General features: G+C 39.0%; 1 protein-coding gene across 7 annotated transcripts in view; it reads right to left on the bottom strand.

Annotated features, from left to right (window-relative positions):
* SUZ12 (SUZ12 polycomb repressive complex 2 subunit) overlaps positions 59-18,520 on the bottom strand; it is a 64,032-nt gene continuing 45,570 nt past the window's right edge. For 6 of the 7 annotated variants that reach the window (XM_047435704.1, NM_015355.4, NM_001321207.2 and 3 more), the window contains 8 exons: positions 17,993-18,098; positions 12,600-12,777; positions 7,764-7,855; positions 7,089-7,232; positions 6,376-6,533; positions 5,335-5,533; positions 4,220-4,299; positions 59-2,439 (listed from right to left, as the gene is read on the bottom strand). In XM_047435704.1, the coding sequence (XP_047291660.1) occupies positions 2,094-2,439; positions 4,220-4,299; positions 5,335-5,533; positions 6,376-6,533; positions 7,089-7,232; positions 7,764-7,855; positions 12,600-12,777; positions 17,993-18,098 (1,303 nt within the window). In that variant the 3' untranslated portion in view covers positions 59-2,093. Of the gene's footprint in view, positions 2,440-4,219; positions 4,300-5,334; positions 5,534-6,375; positions 6,534-7,088; positions 7,233-7,763; positions 7,856-12,599; positions 12,778-17,992; positions 18,099-18,520 lie in introns of those variants that run through there. The other variant, XM_047435707.1, reaches the window with a different exon arrangement.

The following is an 18,520-nucleotide window of genomic DNA, read 5'->3' as shown; positions in this document are numbered from 1 at the left end:
AAAATTTTAATGTACATGTTAACAATGCATAATAACAAAAAAACCCCAAAACAGAATACAGCTTTTATATTATTGAACTTTATGTACAAAATCATTTGATTTCAAATAAACATTTAATGTAAAAACAAATGTTCTTTTAAACTGAATTTTTTTTACATCTACTGTACCATTCAAATGCTTTATCATCTTACAGGATTTCTTCAAAATCTGTTATCAAGGGTACATATAGAAAAGCACTTTTTTTATAAATAGAAACAAAGGGATTTTTTCAGCTTTTACGATGACATAAAAAGTTTACTCAACAGAAGTAATTTTATTACTATTTGGGGTGGGAATCACCAACTTTTTGTGCAAACAATGCTAGCCTTCTTTTAAGCATTAAGAGCATAACTGCTTAAGAAATGACATAAGCAATAATTCTACACCTACATCTCCCCTAAAATAATCTTTTTTTTTTTTTTTTTACATATGTGCACAGCTTTAGCAAATTAAAGCCCGAGATAAACGCTCGAGATCTACTATCCAGAGGCAAAAATCAGAGTTTACTAGAACTCATCATTTGGAGAGCTTACCAATCAAGGAATCTGTAATGAAAGCTGCAGTTTCCCTCTTTCCTATTTTTTTTTAAACACAAAAATCAATGACTAAGAACTTAATACTGGATGACAAATCACATCCACACTATTCGTTAAATAGCCTCACAGTTAAACACATCTTAAAGACCAGTCAAATCAGTATTTACATTTTATAAATTTCTGAAGACACCATTAGAAAGCTTATATATCCCTTCATTAAACAAAATAGGGAACTGCATCTGATGGTGGTGGAATGAAATTTTAAAATTAAAAATACCTGTATTTACAGCAGCATTGATCCTTTATAAATAAAGAATATGAAAATGCAATATCTTTAAGGATAATAAAAAATTGAGGTGATGTTACTCAACCACAGTGCTCGGAGTTGGAATAAAAACCTATTGGTGCTTGTTAATGTGCCAGTAGTGAATCCACTTTCTGTTGGAGAAAATCCAACTGCAAATATGTGCGTGAAACACATATAACACAGGGCAAAATTGCTCAAAATGATTCAAGTCAGCTTATCTCTATTGGATATTCTATTCATGAAACACATTACAAAGACATCCTTGCAAACAAATAAAAGGCATAACAGTTTTCTGGTTGACTTTTTAAGAACACTTCTCCCCTTATAAGTGACATCTTAAAATCTCAAATGCGTTCTTTCCTTGGTTTGCAATCCTAATTTAAAGATATGAACAGCTTAATTTTCCGTGTGATTATCTAATTAAAAAAGAAAAACAAAACAAGCAAAATGTTCAAGTTAAAAAAAAAAAACATACCGGGTGAGCAATGCACTAAAATTATCCACATGAAAACAAATGGTCTGTAATCTTATAAACCAACATAGCATTTCACTGTCAACAATGTGAAAATTTAATATCTTCTCAAACAGGCATAAGATGAAGAAGTGCTATTTTTTAATTGTAAAAGGAACTTATGTAATGTAAAATTACATTATAATTTTTCATTCCGAATTGACAAATGATTTCAAAAACAAGGATCAAAGTTTGACTGCAAATAGTAATGCAATATAATTTCATAAAAATCCTTCAATTTCTATTTTTTTCCTTTTCTGTAGTTGACATATGAAGACCACTTCAATTTCTAAAAAAGGGAACCATTCCAATTTTCCCTCCCCAAGAAAATGTCTCACAATTACAAAGTAGAAAAACAGCCGTTCATAAATGCAAAAAAATTCTGATTTATATATGAAATAATTTCTAGATCAATTCAACATATTTGATGACATTTGTTGAGTTTAAAAATACTTTGAAATATTGCTTTTCATGCTTAAAGTACAGAATGTTTTAATGACATCAATAAAAGTGATATACATGTAATGCTGCATAATGAAGTGAAGTAGAACCCTGATACAAATATCCTTGTTGAAATCATTTACTTCATCTAACAGTGCCTGTTTGGAACATATGATTAAAAACAAAAACATAATTCTTAGAGGATGAATTCCCTAAAATGTAATTTCAGTGTTTGTCCATAACATGGGGTTAGAGCTTTTCAGAGTTTTTGTTTTTTGCTCTGTTTTGAAACCCCTGAGACACTATCTGTTTCCAAAGCTTTCTCTTTTGAGTTAATTTCACTAAATCCATTTGCTGTCCCATTTTGTTCTTCAGTTATTTCTTCGTTTGCAGGGGAAGCAGATTCCCCCTTTTCTAATTTTTGCTGCATTTCACGGAGCTTGGTAACAGCTTTATCTATTGACATTATGCTAATAAGATTAAAGTCATGCATGCTGACTAGATGAAGCATGAAGTTTCGACATAAATTCTTCTTAATTATTTTCTGTCCATAATTTTCTACAAACAGCATACAGGCATGATTCATTTGATTGTCAGCAATAAACCTATTTAATAAAAACAGAATATGAATAGCAATACAAAGCATTTTTGTCAAATGCAACAGTGATAACCATTATAATAAGACTATATCCAATTCCAGTAAAATAAAAGATGATTAAAGAAGCAGTAAAACTATAGAGAAACTGAAATTCAATCATCTGAATGAGCTTACCATTTTAAAAATTTCAAGAGATTTAATCTAACTTAAGCTTAAACAGGTACCATTAGAACAGCAGATATAATTTCTGTTCTTCAATTACATAAGCAGTCTTAAAAGCATAAAATATTTGGGCCAGGTAATTACGCCTGTAATTCTAGCACTTTGGGAGGCCGAGGTGGGTGGATCGCAAGATCAGGAGATCAAGACCATCCTGGCTAACACTGTGAAACCCCGTCTCTACTAAAAATGCAAAAAATCAGCTGGGTGTGGTGGCGGGTGCCTGTGGTCCCAGCGGCTCCGGAGGCTGAGGCAGGAGAATGGTGTGAACCTGGGAGGTGGAGCTTGCAGTGAGTCGAGATCACACCACTGCACTCCAGCCTGGACGAGAGAGAGAGACTCCGTCTCAAAAAAAAAAAAAAAAAAATTTAGTAGAGACAAGGTTTCACTGTGTTGCCCAGGTTGGTCTTGAATTCCTCAACTCAAGTGATCCTCCTGCCTTGGCATCCTAAAGTGCCAGCATTGTAAGTGTGAGCCACCACACCAAGCCGGGAACATACTTTTAGCCACAAAGGAATAAGAAACAAAAATTGTTCTCCTTTCACCTCTATGAAATGGTAAACAAATCCAAAAAGCCACGTTTTATTCTGAAAAATTAACCAATGGTTAAAAATTGTGGTAATAACTGTGGTAATTTTCAGGATTTCCAGACATGAAACACGTGGCACTAAAAGGCATGAAAATTGGGTCATTAAATGAACCTACAGCTCTGTCTTGCCTTCTGCTGCTCCCTGGTCGTGGGTCCCACCAAGGTGGCCTTTTTTTTTTTTTTTTTTTTTGGAGATAGGGTCTCACTCTGTTGCCCAGGCTGGAGTGCAGTGGTGCAATCTTGGCTCACTGCAATTTCCATTTCCCGGGTTCTTCAAGTGATTATAGTGCCTCAGCCTCCCGAGTAACTGGGATTACAGGTGTGTGACACTGCACCCGGCTAAGTTTTGTACGTTTAGTGGAGACAGGGTTTCACCATGTTGGCCAGGCTGCTCTCTAACTTCTGACCTCAAGTGATCCACCCACCTTGGCCTCCCAAAGTACTGGGATTACAGGCATGAGCCACTGTACCCAGCTCTATAAAATGTTTTGAGTGTGAACGAGTCAACCCTGATAGAGTTTGCAAGCATGGGAGAAACACTACTACGAGAGTTAGGATGGGCACCAGTGATTTCTGAGGAGGTTCTATGATGATGACACCCTTTCCTACGGACACCAGGGTTGCAGCAGCCTGTTTCCTCTTGAAAGCTGACAGAATCAACAACCCTGATAAATAATGCTGCGATGACTCACATCTGTGCAACAAGTTCTAAAGGCAAGGCCCGGTTTTTGCCTTGATTTTATTAATACTAATGAATATAATATTAATTCATTGTTATAAATAATACCAAAAGGAACGTCTTTGTACCTAAAAAAAACCTGCCAAACCAAAAAACATTGGAATAGAATAAAATTTGGGACAAATATACATTAATGGAATTTTAAATAAGATTCTAACACACGTAAGATTTCTAGAATGTGAAACAGCAAAAGACCATAAAGAATAATAAAATATTTAAATTAATTTAGAAATACCCTACCCATGCTTCATGACATGGAGATTCCAGAGTTTCATCACTTCTTTCTCTCCTTCATTAACATCAGAAAACTCTTCAATTTGCTGGGAAAAAGAAAGAAAAACACCTATTAAACACATATTTTAAGAAAAACTTGTGAGAATGTCAAAAACAGAATGTTTTGGAACTAAAAATACAACATATTTATACAGCAAAGTGGCAACATTTCTTAAAATTAACTTCTATTTAAGTAGTCATTTAATTTAATTTATTTATTTAGTTAGAGACAGAGTCTTGCTCTATCGCCCAGGCTGAAGTACAGTGGCACGATCTCAGTTCACTGAAACCTTGACCTCCCGGGTTCAAGCAATTCTCCTGTCTCAGCCTCCCGAGTAGCTGGGATCACAAGCACGCTCTACCATGCCCAGCTAACTCTTGTATTTTCTTTTAGTAGAGATGGGGTTTTGCCATGTTGGCCAGGCTGGTCTCAAACTCCTGACCTCAGGTGATCAGCCCAACTCGCCCTACCAAAGTGTTGGGATTACAGGTGTGAGCCAGCACACCTGCCGTCATTTAAAAAGGGAAAGCCTAAATTACGATTACCTATAAATATAGAAATGAAAACACACAATACAAATTTACTTGAAGAAAATCCATATTCCCTTTAACTTGGTAACTTTTTTGTTTGTTTTGATACAGGGTCTCCCTCTGTCACCCAGGCTGGAGTGCAGTGGTGCAATCTTGGCTCACTGCAACCTCCATCTCCTGGGGTTAAGCGACTCTCCTGCCTCAGCCAACTGAATAGCTGGGACTACAAGTGCATGCCACCATGCCTGGCTAATTTTTTGTATTTTTAGTAGAGACCGGGTTTCACCATGCTGTCCAGACTGGTCTTGAACTCCTGAACTCAGGCAATGCGCCTGCCTCGCAAAGTGCTAGGATTACAGGTGTGAGCGACCGCCACCAGCCTAACTTGGTTAACTTTTAAAGTGACATAATTTTAAAACCTGTACATTTCCGGATTCCTTTTTTTTTTTTTAAAAAAAGTTCCTTTACAATAAAAGTCTAGTTCATAGTAAGCAATTTTCAAAACAAAATAATATTCCAAGATAATTGCCAATAAAGATAATAATAATTACTGTAATGGTTTTTTCTCTTAGCCATTCAGGATCCTTTTCATCTTCACTATCTACTTCCATTTCTTGTGGACGGAGAGGTAAGCAGGTATCACTATGGAAATACAGACGATTGTGGCCACTACTATATGTTCTTTGCTGTTCTACTTCCCCATCTTCAGATTCAAGAAATTCAGACATGCTTGCTTTTGTTCGTTTTGGCCTAATGAAAAGAAATAAATGTTGATTTATGGCCTCTACATGTATACCATCTAACCTCACGACTAGGAGTTGAGATCTGTGATAATCTGCAACATCACCCTTTTATAAAACTAACCATAAAACAATAGTATTAGAGGCACACCCCCACTAGTTATTTTCTTTTGGTACATAATGTAAATCAAACCTATTACATATTAATTCAAACACAAACTGTCTTTCTGGGTGTGAAAAGTTACAGTTAAAAAGGAGGAAAAAGAAATGAAGTGCTAGTTAGGGCACATTCAGATAGGAATATGCATATAAAATCCTACATGTCAAAACTGTGTATTCTAACTCATGTATATTCACAAAGCAGAAAAGCCGTTAACACTGGTTACATATGCATACACCTGCCTTAAAAATTTTTTCAGTTTTACTAAGATTAAAAATTCCCTCTTTGTAATTTTTTTATTACTATTATTATTATTTGAGACGAAGTTTTGCTCTTGTTGCCCAGGCCGGAGTGCAATGGCACAACCTCGGCTCACTGCAACCTCGACCTCCCAGGTTCAACCAATTATCCAGAAACTTCTGACAGAATTCTTTAATCCCAAACCACTGCAGCAGTAGTGACATTAACATCATTAAAACTTAAGTATAAAGTTCAAAGGAAAAGTGAGAAAACTTCTCTGTAGAAATAGGAGCTATCAAGTGTTATAAAGTAGTTAACAACCCCATAGACACCTAATACTGAAAAATAATAATTTCCACCTAACGAACTAGTAGCTTCATCTGGCTCCTTTGTTCCTCCAACATCAGTAAAAATCAGAGCTTAAACTTTTCTTATATGCCCTTTTTACCTACCTGCACACAAGAATATGTGTGATAGGTGTTCTCTTAACTGGTCCGTTGCGACTAAAAGCAAATCCAGGTTGGCGATGAATATCCTGAGGATTTCCTGCATAGGAGCCATCATAACACTCATTGATAGAAACATCTATCCTAGCACCTTTTGGATGATACTGCAACAAAAATGTAAAAAAAAAAATATATTAAGTATCCTATCCTAAATATCCCTCCAATTTAATTAAAGAATTTGTGGGCTCTTAATATTTAGAAAACTAAAATAGGCCAGGCACACCAGCATGGTAAACAGGCAGTCAGAAGACCTGGGGTCAACAAAATGTGTTAAAATCTTAACTATGTCATTTATTGCTTGGTGACTTTGTACAAATTATTTCTTGGTTGAGCAAGAATAAGAAAATTATCATTTAATTCAAAGAGTTGGTTGAGGATTTTGTGAGTCAATTAGAGACACTACACAAACATTAATTATAATTCCAAATATATGTCAACTCTGAATCATTCACTGTAATCCATATATACGGCAATCTATCAAATACAGAAATTTGTTTTTTATACAAAGTACAATTTTTGAAAGTCATGCTATCTTGTACTTAATGCATATTTTTTCCCTTTTTTAATTTAAAAAATTTTTGTGGGTACATAGATGTATATATTTATGGGGTACAAGAGATTTCTTAACACAAATTGAGAAAATATGAAAAATTACTCACAACATAGTTGAAGATAAATCTGCTATGGCAGAGTTTAAGATGCTTGAGTAAACTATAAAGTTTGCGGCAGTTCAGAGTACACCAAGGGCAATGCAGGTCATCTCTTGCTTCAGTTTGTTGCCTTGTATTGTTGTTATAGAGAAACTAAAAACAATTAAAAAAAAAAAGCAAATCTCCAATTTACGCATAACAAGATATTTTGTTTAAATATCACTTCTAAAAATAGTTTAAAAAATTTAAGCGGAAAATCAAATTAGAGATATTCTCTTTAATTAAATATGCCCAGTGACGCGAGGTCACTCACGCCTGTTAATCCCAGCATTTTGGGAGGCCAAGGCAGACACTGTCAAATGTATCGCTTGGAGCTCAAGACAAGCCTGGGCAACATGGTAAAACCTCGTCTCCACAAAAACTACAAAAATTAGCCAGGAGTGGTGGCATGTGCTTGTAATTAGTTACTCGTGAGGCTGAGGCGTGAGAATCAGGTTGAACCCAGGAGGCAGAGGTTGCAGTGAGCCAAGACTGCACCACTGCACTCCAGCCTGGGCAAAAAAGTGAGATCCTGTCTCAAATAAATAAATAAATAAAATAAAAATGAACAAAAAATTTTCATGTTTGACATACAAAAAACAAATACATTTCATAATTACTTTAAGAAGGGTCAGCTATGTTTACCTGATAAAATATTCTTAATTTTTGTCGGTTTTCATTTGGAGTATCCTTTTCTTTTCTTGTTTGTAGATCTGTAGTCAATGATTCTTTAACAGCTGAAAACATACACTTTTATATTCAATAAAAACATTGCTTTTGAAAAGCAAAATAACATACCTCACAAAAACTATTAAATATTAAAGGTTTCACAGAATTCTACTTGTGGTATTTAAATATATTTCTGTTATCTCCCTCAACTGATGATCGCAGGAAAAATACCCATAATTCAGCATCCCTAATCTGATGTTAAGGTCTATTGGCAGGACTTATTTTTTTCCTTAAAAAGCACCTCTGGCCGGGCGCGGTGGCTCACGCCTGTAATCCCAGCACATTGGGAGGCCAAGGCAGGAGGATTACGATGTCAGGAGTTAGAGACCAGCCTGCCCAACGTGGCAAAACCCCATCTCTAATTAAAAATATAAAAAATTAGCAGGGCGTGGTGGCGGGCACCTGCAATCCCAGCTACTCAGGAGGCGGAAGCAGAATTGCTTGAACCCGGGAGGCGGAGGTTGCAGTGAGCCAAGACCACACCACTGCACTTCCGCCTGGATGACAAGAGCAAAACTCCGTCTCAAAAAACAAAAACAGGGCCGGGCGCGGTGGCTCACACCTGTAATCCCAGTGCTTTGGGAGGCCGAGGCGGGTGGATCACGAGGTCAGGAGATCAAGACCATCCTGGCTAACACAGTGAAACCCCATCTCTACTAAAAATACAAAAAAATTAGCTGGGCATGGTGGTGGGCACCTGTAGTCCCAGCTACTCGGGAGGCTGAGGCAGGAGAATGGCGTGAATCTGGGAGGCAGAGCTTGCAGTGAGCTGAGATCGCACCACTACACTCCAGCCTGGGCGACTGAGGAAGACTCTGTCAAAAAAAGGAAAACAGAAACAAAAACAAAAAACCACCTCCTATGTCCTAAACAATTATAAAAGTAACTCCAAGTAATTATATGTCATTACCATGCTGTTTTAAGCACTCTGAGGTCAGAATGTGTTTTTTTGTTGTTGTTGAGACAGATTCACTTTGGTGACTAGGCTGGCGTGCAGTGGCACAATCTCAGCTCACTGCAACCTCCACCTCCTGGGTTCAAGCAATTCTCGTGCCTCAGCCTCCTGAGTAGCTGGGATTACAGGCGCCCGCCACCACACCCGGCTGATTTTTTGTATTTTAGTAGAGACAGGGTTTCACCATATTGCCCAGGCTGGTCTTGAACTCCTGAGTTCAGGCAATCTGCTCATCTCGGCCTCCAAAATTGCTAGGATTACAGATATGAGTCACCGTGCCCAGCCCAGAGTGTGGTTTTAATTGGTGTTTGTATTCTCAGATCCCAGGTGTGAGCAGGCACTAAGTGTTGGTTTATCAGAAAGTAAGTTATACTTATTATATTAAAATTATTTCAGGCTGGGCACGGTGGCTCATGTCTGTAATCCCAGCACTTTGGGAGGCCGAGGTGGGCAGACTGCCTGAGGTCAGAAGTTTGAGACCAGCCTGCCTAACATGGTGAAACCCCATCTCTATGAAAAAAAACTAGCCAGGCATGGTGGCACACACCTGTAGTCCCAGCTACTTGGGAAGCTGAGGCAGGAGAATTGCTTGAACCCGGGAGGCAGAGGGTGCAGTGAGCTGAGGTTTCGCCACTGCACTCCAGCCTGGGTGACGGAGCAAGACTCCGTCTCCAAAAAAAATAATTATTTCAAATCTAAAAAGATAGTGACAAATGATTCTGGTATATTTCCTTTCAGATATAAGAAAAAAAGGTATTTATATTTCCTTACATAATTAACAATTAGGTATAATTTGTATAGAACTTTTTCTTAGTTTTGATGCAACCTTTTACCTATTTCACTGGTTTCTGAGTATTCTGAGAAGTGCCCATACTACAGTTTACTTGCAAAACCTTTCCCCTGACACAAGCCATTTCTTATTTTATTTATATTTTTTATTTTTTATAAGCGACAGGGTGTCACTATGTTGCCCAGGCTGGTCTTGAACTCCTGGGCTTCAAGCAATCCACCCACCCTGGTCTCCCAAAGTGCTGGAATTACAGATGTCAGCCACTGCGCCCGGCCCCATTTCTTATATCTCTTTAATCTGACCATTACTGTCACCTGCACACAATGAGTGTACATGAGTGGTCAAGGAGGACAACTTACGCCTTCTGCCTTCTTTAAACAGGCAGATAAAGACACATGAGTGCTCTCTCAGGTCAAGGACAATGTACCTACTGGACAGACACAAAAATGACAGAACTTGGCCAGGCGCAATGGCTCAAGCCTGTAGTCCCAGTACTTTGGGATGCTAAGGTAGGTAGATTGCTTGAGCTCAGGAGTTTGAGACCAGCATGGGTGATGGCAAAATCCCATCTCTACCGAAAAATACAAAAATTAACAGGGCGTGGTGGCACGAGCCTGTAGTCCCATCTATATGGAGGGCTAAGGTGGGAGGATCGCTTGAGCCTGGGAGGCGGTGGTTTCAGTGAGCTGAGATGGCACCACTGCACTCCAGCCAGGGTGAGAGAGAGAAACCCTGTCTCAAAAAAAAAAGTAAAATAAAAATGATAGAACACTGCAACTTGGGCCTTAAACTCAGCAGAAAGTTAACTCTATTTGTAAATGTTTTTTCCTCTTAAAAACTGGCTGGGCGCGATGGCTCATGCCTGTAATCCCAGTACTTTGGGAGGCCGAGATGGGTGGATCTCCTGACATCAGTAGTTTGAGACAAGCCTGGCCAACATGATGAAACCCTGTCTCTACTAAAAATACAAAAATTAGCCAGGCCTAGTGGTTGTGTGCCTGTAATGTCAGCTACTCGGGAGGCTGAGGCAGGAGAATTGCTTCAAACCGGGAGGCGGAGGTTGTGCTGAGCCGAGATCACGTCACCGCACTGCAGCCTGGGCGCGGTGGCTCACACCTGTAATTCTCAGCACTTTGGGAGGCCCAGGTGAGCAGAGCACGACGTCAGGAGGTCCAGACCATCCTGGCTAACACGGTGAAACCCCATCTCTACTAAAAATACAAAAAAAGTTAGTCTGGGCCTGGTGGGTCACGCCTGTAATCTCAGCACTTTGGGAGGCCGAGGCAGGCAGACCATGAGGTCAGGAGATTGAGACTATCCTGGCTAACACGGTGAAACCCCATCTCTACTAAAAATCCAAAAAAAAAAAAAAAAAAAAAAAAATTAGCCGGGCATGGTGGCCGGCGCCTGTAGTCCCAGCTACTCGGGAGGCTGAGGCAGGAAATTGGCATGAACCCAGGAGGTGGAGCTTGCAGTGAGCTGAGATCGCACCACTGCACTCCAGCCTGGGCGAGACTCCATCTCAAAAAAGAAAACAACAAACAAAACAAACAAACAGAAAAACTTATATGTGAGTTATAAAAAACATAGTTCCTGGGCTGGGCACAGTGGCTCGTGCCTGTAATCCCAGCACTTTGGGAGGCCAAGGCGGGCGGATCACAAGGTCAGGAGATCGAGACCATCCTGGCTAACAAGGTGAAACCCCGTCTCTACTAAAAATACAAAAAAAAAAAAAAAAATTAGCTGGTCGTGGTGGCAGGCGCCTGTAATGCCAGCTACTCAGGAGGCTGAGGCAGGAGAATGGCATGAACCAGGGAGGCAGAGCGTGCAGTGAGCCGAGATTAAGCCACTGCACTCCAGTCTGGGCAACAGAGTGAGACTTCGTCTCAAAAAACAAAAAAACAAAAAAAACAAAAAAAAACAACTTAGTTCCAAAGCTCTTTGTAGTTGTGATTCCAAAATCTTAAAAGCTAATCTGAAAACCAATAGTTTTCTTGTAAGTTTCTGGCAAATTTGTTTAGTGGAAAAACTTGCTCTAACTTACCATGAGGACCCCACTTCAAGATGTTATATATGATATCTATACTATGTACCATATCACGCTTCAATTTTTTTTTTCAATTCAAATTTCTAGGCACACTTGGCACAAAGGTTCTGGATAAAGAATTTTTACTACTACTTCAACACAAGACTTTACACTTAATATAGGAGAACCTTAATTTACCATGATTCATAACCTACCCAATAAGCCAGATAATATTCTGAAAGGCTAATCACATAGAGGCCAGCAGAGGTGGCTCTCACCTGTAATCCCAGCACTTTGAGAGACTGAGGCGGGCAGATCATGAGGTCAGAAGATGGAGACCATCCTGGCTAACATGGTGAAACCTCGTCTCTACTTTTTTAATTTATTGACTTACTTTTATTTATTTTTTTTGAGATGGAGTATTGCTCTGTCTCCCAGGCTGGAGTGCAGTGGTGCAATCTCGGCTGCAACCTCCACCTTCTGGGTTCACGCCATTCTCATGCCTCAGCCTCCCAAGTAGCTGGGACTACAGGTGCCCGCCACCACACCTGGCTAAATTTTTTTGTATTTTTAGTAGGGACGGTGTTTCACCGTGTTAGCCAGGATGATCTCCATCTCCTGACCTTGTGATCCGCCCGCCTCGGTCTCCCAAATGCTGAGATTACAGGTGTTGAGCCACTGCGCTCGGCCAACCCTGTCTCTACTAAAACTACAAAAAATTAGCCAGGTGTGGTGGCATGCGCCTGTAGTCACAGCTACTCGGGAGGCTGAGTCAGGAGAATCATCTGAACCCACAAGGCAGAGGTTGCAGTGAGCCGAAATCACGCTACTGCACTCCTGCCTGGGCAACAGAGCAAGACTCCATCTCAAAAAAAAAAAAAGAAGAATCACATAAAGCAAAACACAAATGAATTAATCTAAAGCACAAGACCTAACTCTGCAAACCATTATTTTATTATTTTGATTGCAATGTTTTCTTACCAATAGTTTGAGTAGGTTTAACTGAACCAGGCTTGTTTTCCTGATGGAGACTCTCTGAATTTCTAGTGGCAAGAGGTTTGGCAATAGGAGCCGTAGATTTATCATTGGTCTCTCCTGTCCAACGAAGAGTGAACTGCAACGTAGGTCCCTGAGAAAATGTTTCGAATGGAGGCAGCCTCTAAAAAATAAAAAACATGCAAAGACTGGAGACTCAGATAATGAATTCAAATAAATTGTAGAAATTAAAAAAAATTCATTATAAGTCAATGTGGATTTGCCTTAATAGATTTGTCTTGAAAATCCAAATGCTGACTGAGACGGCTAGGCAAACAAAGTAAAAGTATGGACCAGACACTGTAGAACTTGAACTGGAGAGCACAGGCTGTCTAAAAGAGGCGACCACTGATCAGCAACAGGTGAATTGTTGCCATGTGAAAACACTCGTCCAACACAGACAGATTTTCAGATTTTTCCAAATAGGTCAGAAATCAAAGTTATCATGGGAAAATTTCCCATTTAGGTTGTTGCTAACCAGTTCAAATGTCTTTTTTTTTTTTTGAGATGGAGTTTCACTCTTGTCGCCCAGGCTAGTGTGCAACTGGCATGGTCTCAGCTCACTGCAACCTCCCCCTCCCAGGTTCAAGCAATTCTCCTGTCTCAGCCTCCCAAGTAGCTGGGATTACAGGCACCTGCCGTCACGCCCAGCTAATTTTTTGTGTGTGTGTTTTTAGTAGAGACGGGGTTTCATCATCTTGGCCAGGCTGGTCTTGAACTCCTGACCTCAGGTGATTTGCCTGCCTCGGCCTCCCAAAGTGCTGGGGTTACAGGCATGAGCCACCACGCCTGGCCTTGAAATGTCTTAAAAATAAAATTGTGGTACCCAAAGCCCACCAGCATGCAACCTTTGCTCTTAGGTGACCAATTACTTTTTTTTTTGTAAATTGAACAGCTTTTCAATTAGTAATTTTCTTTGACTTCTCTCAGTTTCACTGACAATGACTGCCAGTGCTTCCCTTCTTTGATTTTACAACACTGAGCTATTGAAAATAGCTAACTTTTAGCCATCTGACCGAATCACTCAACCATCCTCAAGAATTTACCTATTAAGCTGATGATCCCAAATTGGTTCTGCATTCTTATCCTTACACTTGAACTGTAAACTCGTATCTCCAATTGCCTCTTGGACACTGCCAGTTGATCTCAATGTCACCTTGAACTAAAACATGTTTAGAAGTGTATCCAGTATCTTTTCTTCTAAAACACTTTCCTTCTCACGTTATTTTTGTTCTTGTCATTATCATTCTACTAGTGACCCTAAGCTAAAAATTTTGGAATTATATTTGACTCCTATCCTTTCGTTTCTCATGCAATTACCAAGTCCTTTTTAAAATGTTTATCATTTCTTCCTTGTCCTTCAAGGATCACAAAAAAACAAAAAAACAAAAAAACCTTTGTTATAGATCAGTATTGCCTTACTACTAGAGTATCTCAGTTGTTCTACTTGCTTCTGATTTTTACTTTCCTATTCAAATATAGGAGAGATCAAGTAGTCTTCAATGAGCTTCAATTTATTTTACTGCCACAGAGGCCTAAACTCCTTCTATATCATTATTACAAAGTAATCCTCTTAAAACTATTTAGATTAGAGGACCGGGCGCAATGGCACACGCCTGTAATCCCAGCACTTTGGGAGGCCGAGGAGGGCAGATCGTGAGGTCAGGAGTTCGAGACCATCCTGGACAACATGGTGAAACCCCGTCTCTACTAAAATACAAAAAATTAGCTGGGCATGGTGGCTGGCGCCTGTAATCCCAGCTACTTGGGAGGCTGAGGCAGGAGAATCGCTTGAACTCGAAAGGCAGAGGTTGCAGTGAGCCGAAATTGCACCATTGCACTCCAGCCTGGAGACAGAGCAAGACTCCATCTCAAAAAACAAAACAAAACAAAACAAAAAACTACTTAGACTAGAATGTAGTAAAAGTGTGTTCAGAGACTAGTTTGGACACAGCAGTCCACAGGAATTTATCTTATAAAATACTTGATACAGGTTCAAGTATAATCACTATTAACATTTTTGACAAGATTAAAAAAAATCAAATAACCCAATTATCTATTAGACCAGCACTGGTTTAGTCAATTAAGGAACCCAAACAAAACAAAACAAAACAAAAAATCTCAGAACTTTTAAAAAGAAGTAAATCTATATGCTCTGACTTAAAAGGATGCCCATTTTACAGGGTTAAGAGCTTCCAGATAGGCCGGGCACAGTAGCTCACACCTGTAATCCCAGCACTTTGGGATGCCGAAGTGGGTGGAAAACCTTAGGTCAGGAGTTTGAGACCAGCCAAGACAACATGGTGAAACCCCCAGGCCTGGTGGCGCATGCCAGTAATCTCAACTATTCAGGAGGCTGAGGCAAGAGAATTGCTTGAACCCAGGAGGCAGAGGTTGCAGTGAACTGAGACCGCGCCATTGCACTCCACCTCTGGGTGACAGAGCGAGACTCCATCTCAACAGAAACAAACAAAAAAAGGCCAGGCCGGGCACGGTCGCTCATGCCTGTAATCCCAGTACTTTGGGAGGCCGAGGCGGGTGGATCACAAGGTCAGGAGTTCGAGACCAGCCTGGCCAACATGGTGAAACTCCATCTCTACTAAAAATATGAAAATCAGCTGGGCATGGTGGTGCACACCTGTGATCGCAGCTACTCAGGAGGCTGAGGCTGGAGAATCGCTTGAACCCGGGAGGCGGAGGTTGCAGTGAGCCAAGATCATGCCACTGTACTCCAGCCTGGGTGACAGAGTGAAACTCCATCTCAAAAACAAAACAAACAAAAAAAAAACAAAAACAAAACCAACAACAACAAAAACTCTTCATATATATAATCCTTATAGTCTCATGAATAAAAACATACTTTAAAACAAGAAATTTAAAATGAAAAAGATCATAAAGATAAATCCATGCAGAAAACCCAAACAGTATAGATAAAAATTATTTGAAATCTCATCACCTGGAGTTAACCACTATTATAAATTTTAGAAACAGGGAAAATATATATATATATATGTATACAGTTATGTAAAAATTTAATATGGAAATCTTGTAAACTATCATCCTTTTTAATAGCTTTTTAGATTTAACATGTTTCTAATGTTTCATTATTTAAAAAATGCTGAGAAAACCTGTTACCTACATCTTTTGTTAACAAGTTACTACACTGTGACAAAAATATAAAATTTGAATTGTTAAAGACTATATATACAATTTTAACTTTATATATATTGCCAGTCTGCCCTATAGTAAGACTGTATCAACCTTTTTTTTTTTTTTTTTTTTTTTGAGACAGAGTCTTGCTCTGTTTCCCCGGATAAAGTGAAGTGGCAAAATCTCAGCTCACTGAAACCTCTGCCTCCCAGGTTCAAGTAATACTCCTAAACCTCCCAAGTACCCAAGTAGCTGGGACTACAAGCACCTGCCACCATGCCTGGCTAATTTTTGTGTTTTTGGTAGAGATGTGGTTTGACATGTTGGCCAGGCTGGTGTCAAATTCATAACCTCAGGTGATCCACCCGCCTTGGCTTCCCAAAGTGCTGGGATTACAGGCATGAGCCACTGAGCCCGGCCCCAACTTACTGTTACATCAAAATATTATTTGAGAGTATATGTGTCCTCACGTCCCTAAAACACTAGAAACTGTCAAACTTTTAATCTTTGTCGAACTCTCAAAAGTATCTCTGCATTTGCATGCCTTTGAGTACTAATAAGGTTGAGTACTGCTTTAAAAGTCTGCTGGCCATCTATATTTGTTTTTTTAAGAACTGCGTGAGAGTCCTTGACACATATTTCTTATTAGACTGCGTATCTTTTTCTTGTTTTATAATTCACAATATTATGTATTCATATTAGCATTTTGTGTTACAGATACTTCCCCCATTCCATAATTTGTTTGTAACTTTAGATATTTTGCAGTATAAAAATGACTAATTTTAACCCGACAATTTTTACTTTATGCTTTCTTACTTTTCAATCATCCTTAGAAAGGTCTTCCTCACTGCAGTATATTAACATTCACCTATTTTTTTTCCATGCTTATGAATGTTCATTTTTACATGTTTATGAGCCTTGCAGAATGTATTAGGTCTAAGATTATTTCCAGATGACTGGAGAAGAGTTGTCACAATTAATGAACAGTTTCTCTTTCTCACATAGCTATACCACCACCTTTATCATGAACTAAATTTCAAATATACATCAAACTATTTCAGGACTATGCCTGAATGATATGCTTGAATGATATGCTTGTCTATTCCTATGCTTATACCATAGGGTTTAAGTTCTCTTAACTTTATGGTATGTACTACTGTATATCGTATATCATACTAAAACTGGTAAGTAAAAATTCTCAAAATATTTTTCTAAAATTTCCCTTAGTATTACTAAATACTTATCCTTCTAGATTGACTTGGAACTAATTTTAAGGCTTAAAAAAATCCTTATGAGATTTTGCATTGGATGGTAACACTGATCTAACATATTTAGAAATAAAAGACATCGTTACAGTTTTGAATCTACCTATTTAAGAAATGCATGGATTCCTCTTTATCTCTTAAAAGAGTTATCTTAAGTACGCTTAATCTAAATTCTGCAGATTTCTTGATAAATGTATTACTAGTCATCCCTTATTACCTGCCATTACAATGAATAGAATTTAAAATAGCCGTTAACATTTATTGAGCACTTATTGTATGCCAGGCACTGTACTAAATATTTTATTATTTCATCTAATCCATCAATTCTATGTCTCATGTTACAGGAGAAGAAACTGAGACATGGATAAGTAACTTGCCAAACGCCACATAGCTAGGAGCAGACATTTGAATCAGGCAGTCTGGCTCTCAAAGTATGATGCCTTCCGTGTGGCCGGGTGCAGTGGCTCATGCCTGTAATCCCAGCGCTTTGGGAGGCCAAGGTGGGCAGATCACAAGGTCAGGAGTTCCAGACTAGCCTGGCCAACATGGTCAAACCCCGTCTCTACTGAAAATAAAAAAAAATTAGCCAGGCGTGGTGGCACGCAGAATCACAGAATCACAGCTACTTGGGAGGCTGAGACAGGAGAATCGCTTGAACCCGGGAGGTGGAGGTTGCAGTGAGCCGAGACCATGCCACTGCACTCCAGCCTGGGCAACAGAGCAAGACTCCCCCTCAAAAAAAAAAAAAAAAAAAGAATGATACCTTCCGTTAAATGCTCTGACTAGATCATTTACTTGTGTTTTTTAAAGTATAAAAAACAAAGGACTCTACTTCCAACATGAATTAGCATTTGGGGAAGAAAACATCAGTCAAAAATGGGAGTTCATAACTATAACGTGCTCAACCTTCTAAGTAGTCCATACCTTCCCATCAAGAATAGTCTCCCATGTTGCTCTTTTCTTGCTTATTGGACATTCTTCCATTTCCTGCATGGCTACTTCATATTCCCCATCTAAAAGCTGTAAGCGCCTGTTAGACAAACACATATACTTTAAAGTAACCTGTGTTATTACTATAAGTACACAAATTCTACATCTTTAGATTTATACTAAAACCATTTATTAAATTTATAAACTAGCTTACATACCCAACAAGATTTTAAAAATACAGCTACACTCCAGTCCTGATGAAAGCAATTTTAATGATGTACACTAAAAACTGTATTACTAGGAATTCATTACTGTAGCTACTCAGATATAACTCTAAACATGTAAAGTATAATATGCCTGAGGTCTCAAAACCTGGTACGTTGTCAACATTAAATATAAAGCGTAAGTACAGGCTTTATTTATTTATTTATTTATTTGAGATGGAGTCTTGCTCTGTTGCAACCCAGGCTGGAGGGCAGTGGTGCAATCTCCGCTCACCACAATCTCTGCTGCCCAGGTTCA

The sequence above is a fragment of the Homo sapiens genome, chromosome 17, assembly GCF_000001405.40.
Source record: "Homo sapiens chromosome 17, GRCh38.p14 Primary Assembly".
In the NCBI taxonomy this organism is placed as follows: Eukaryota; Metazoa; Chordata; class Mammalia; order Primates; family Hominidae; genus Homo; species Homo sapiens.
This window is presented reverse-complemented; position numbering and strand designations above follow the sequence as displayed.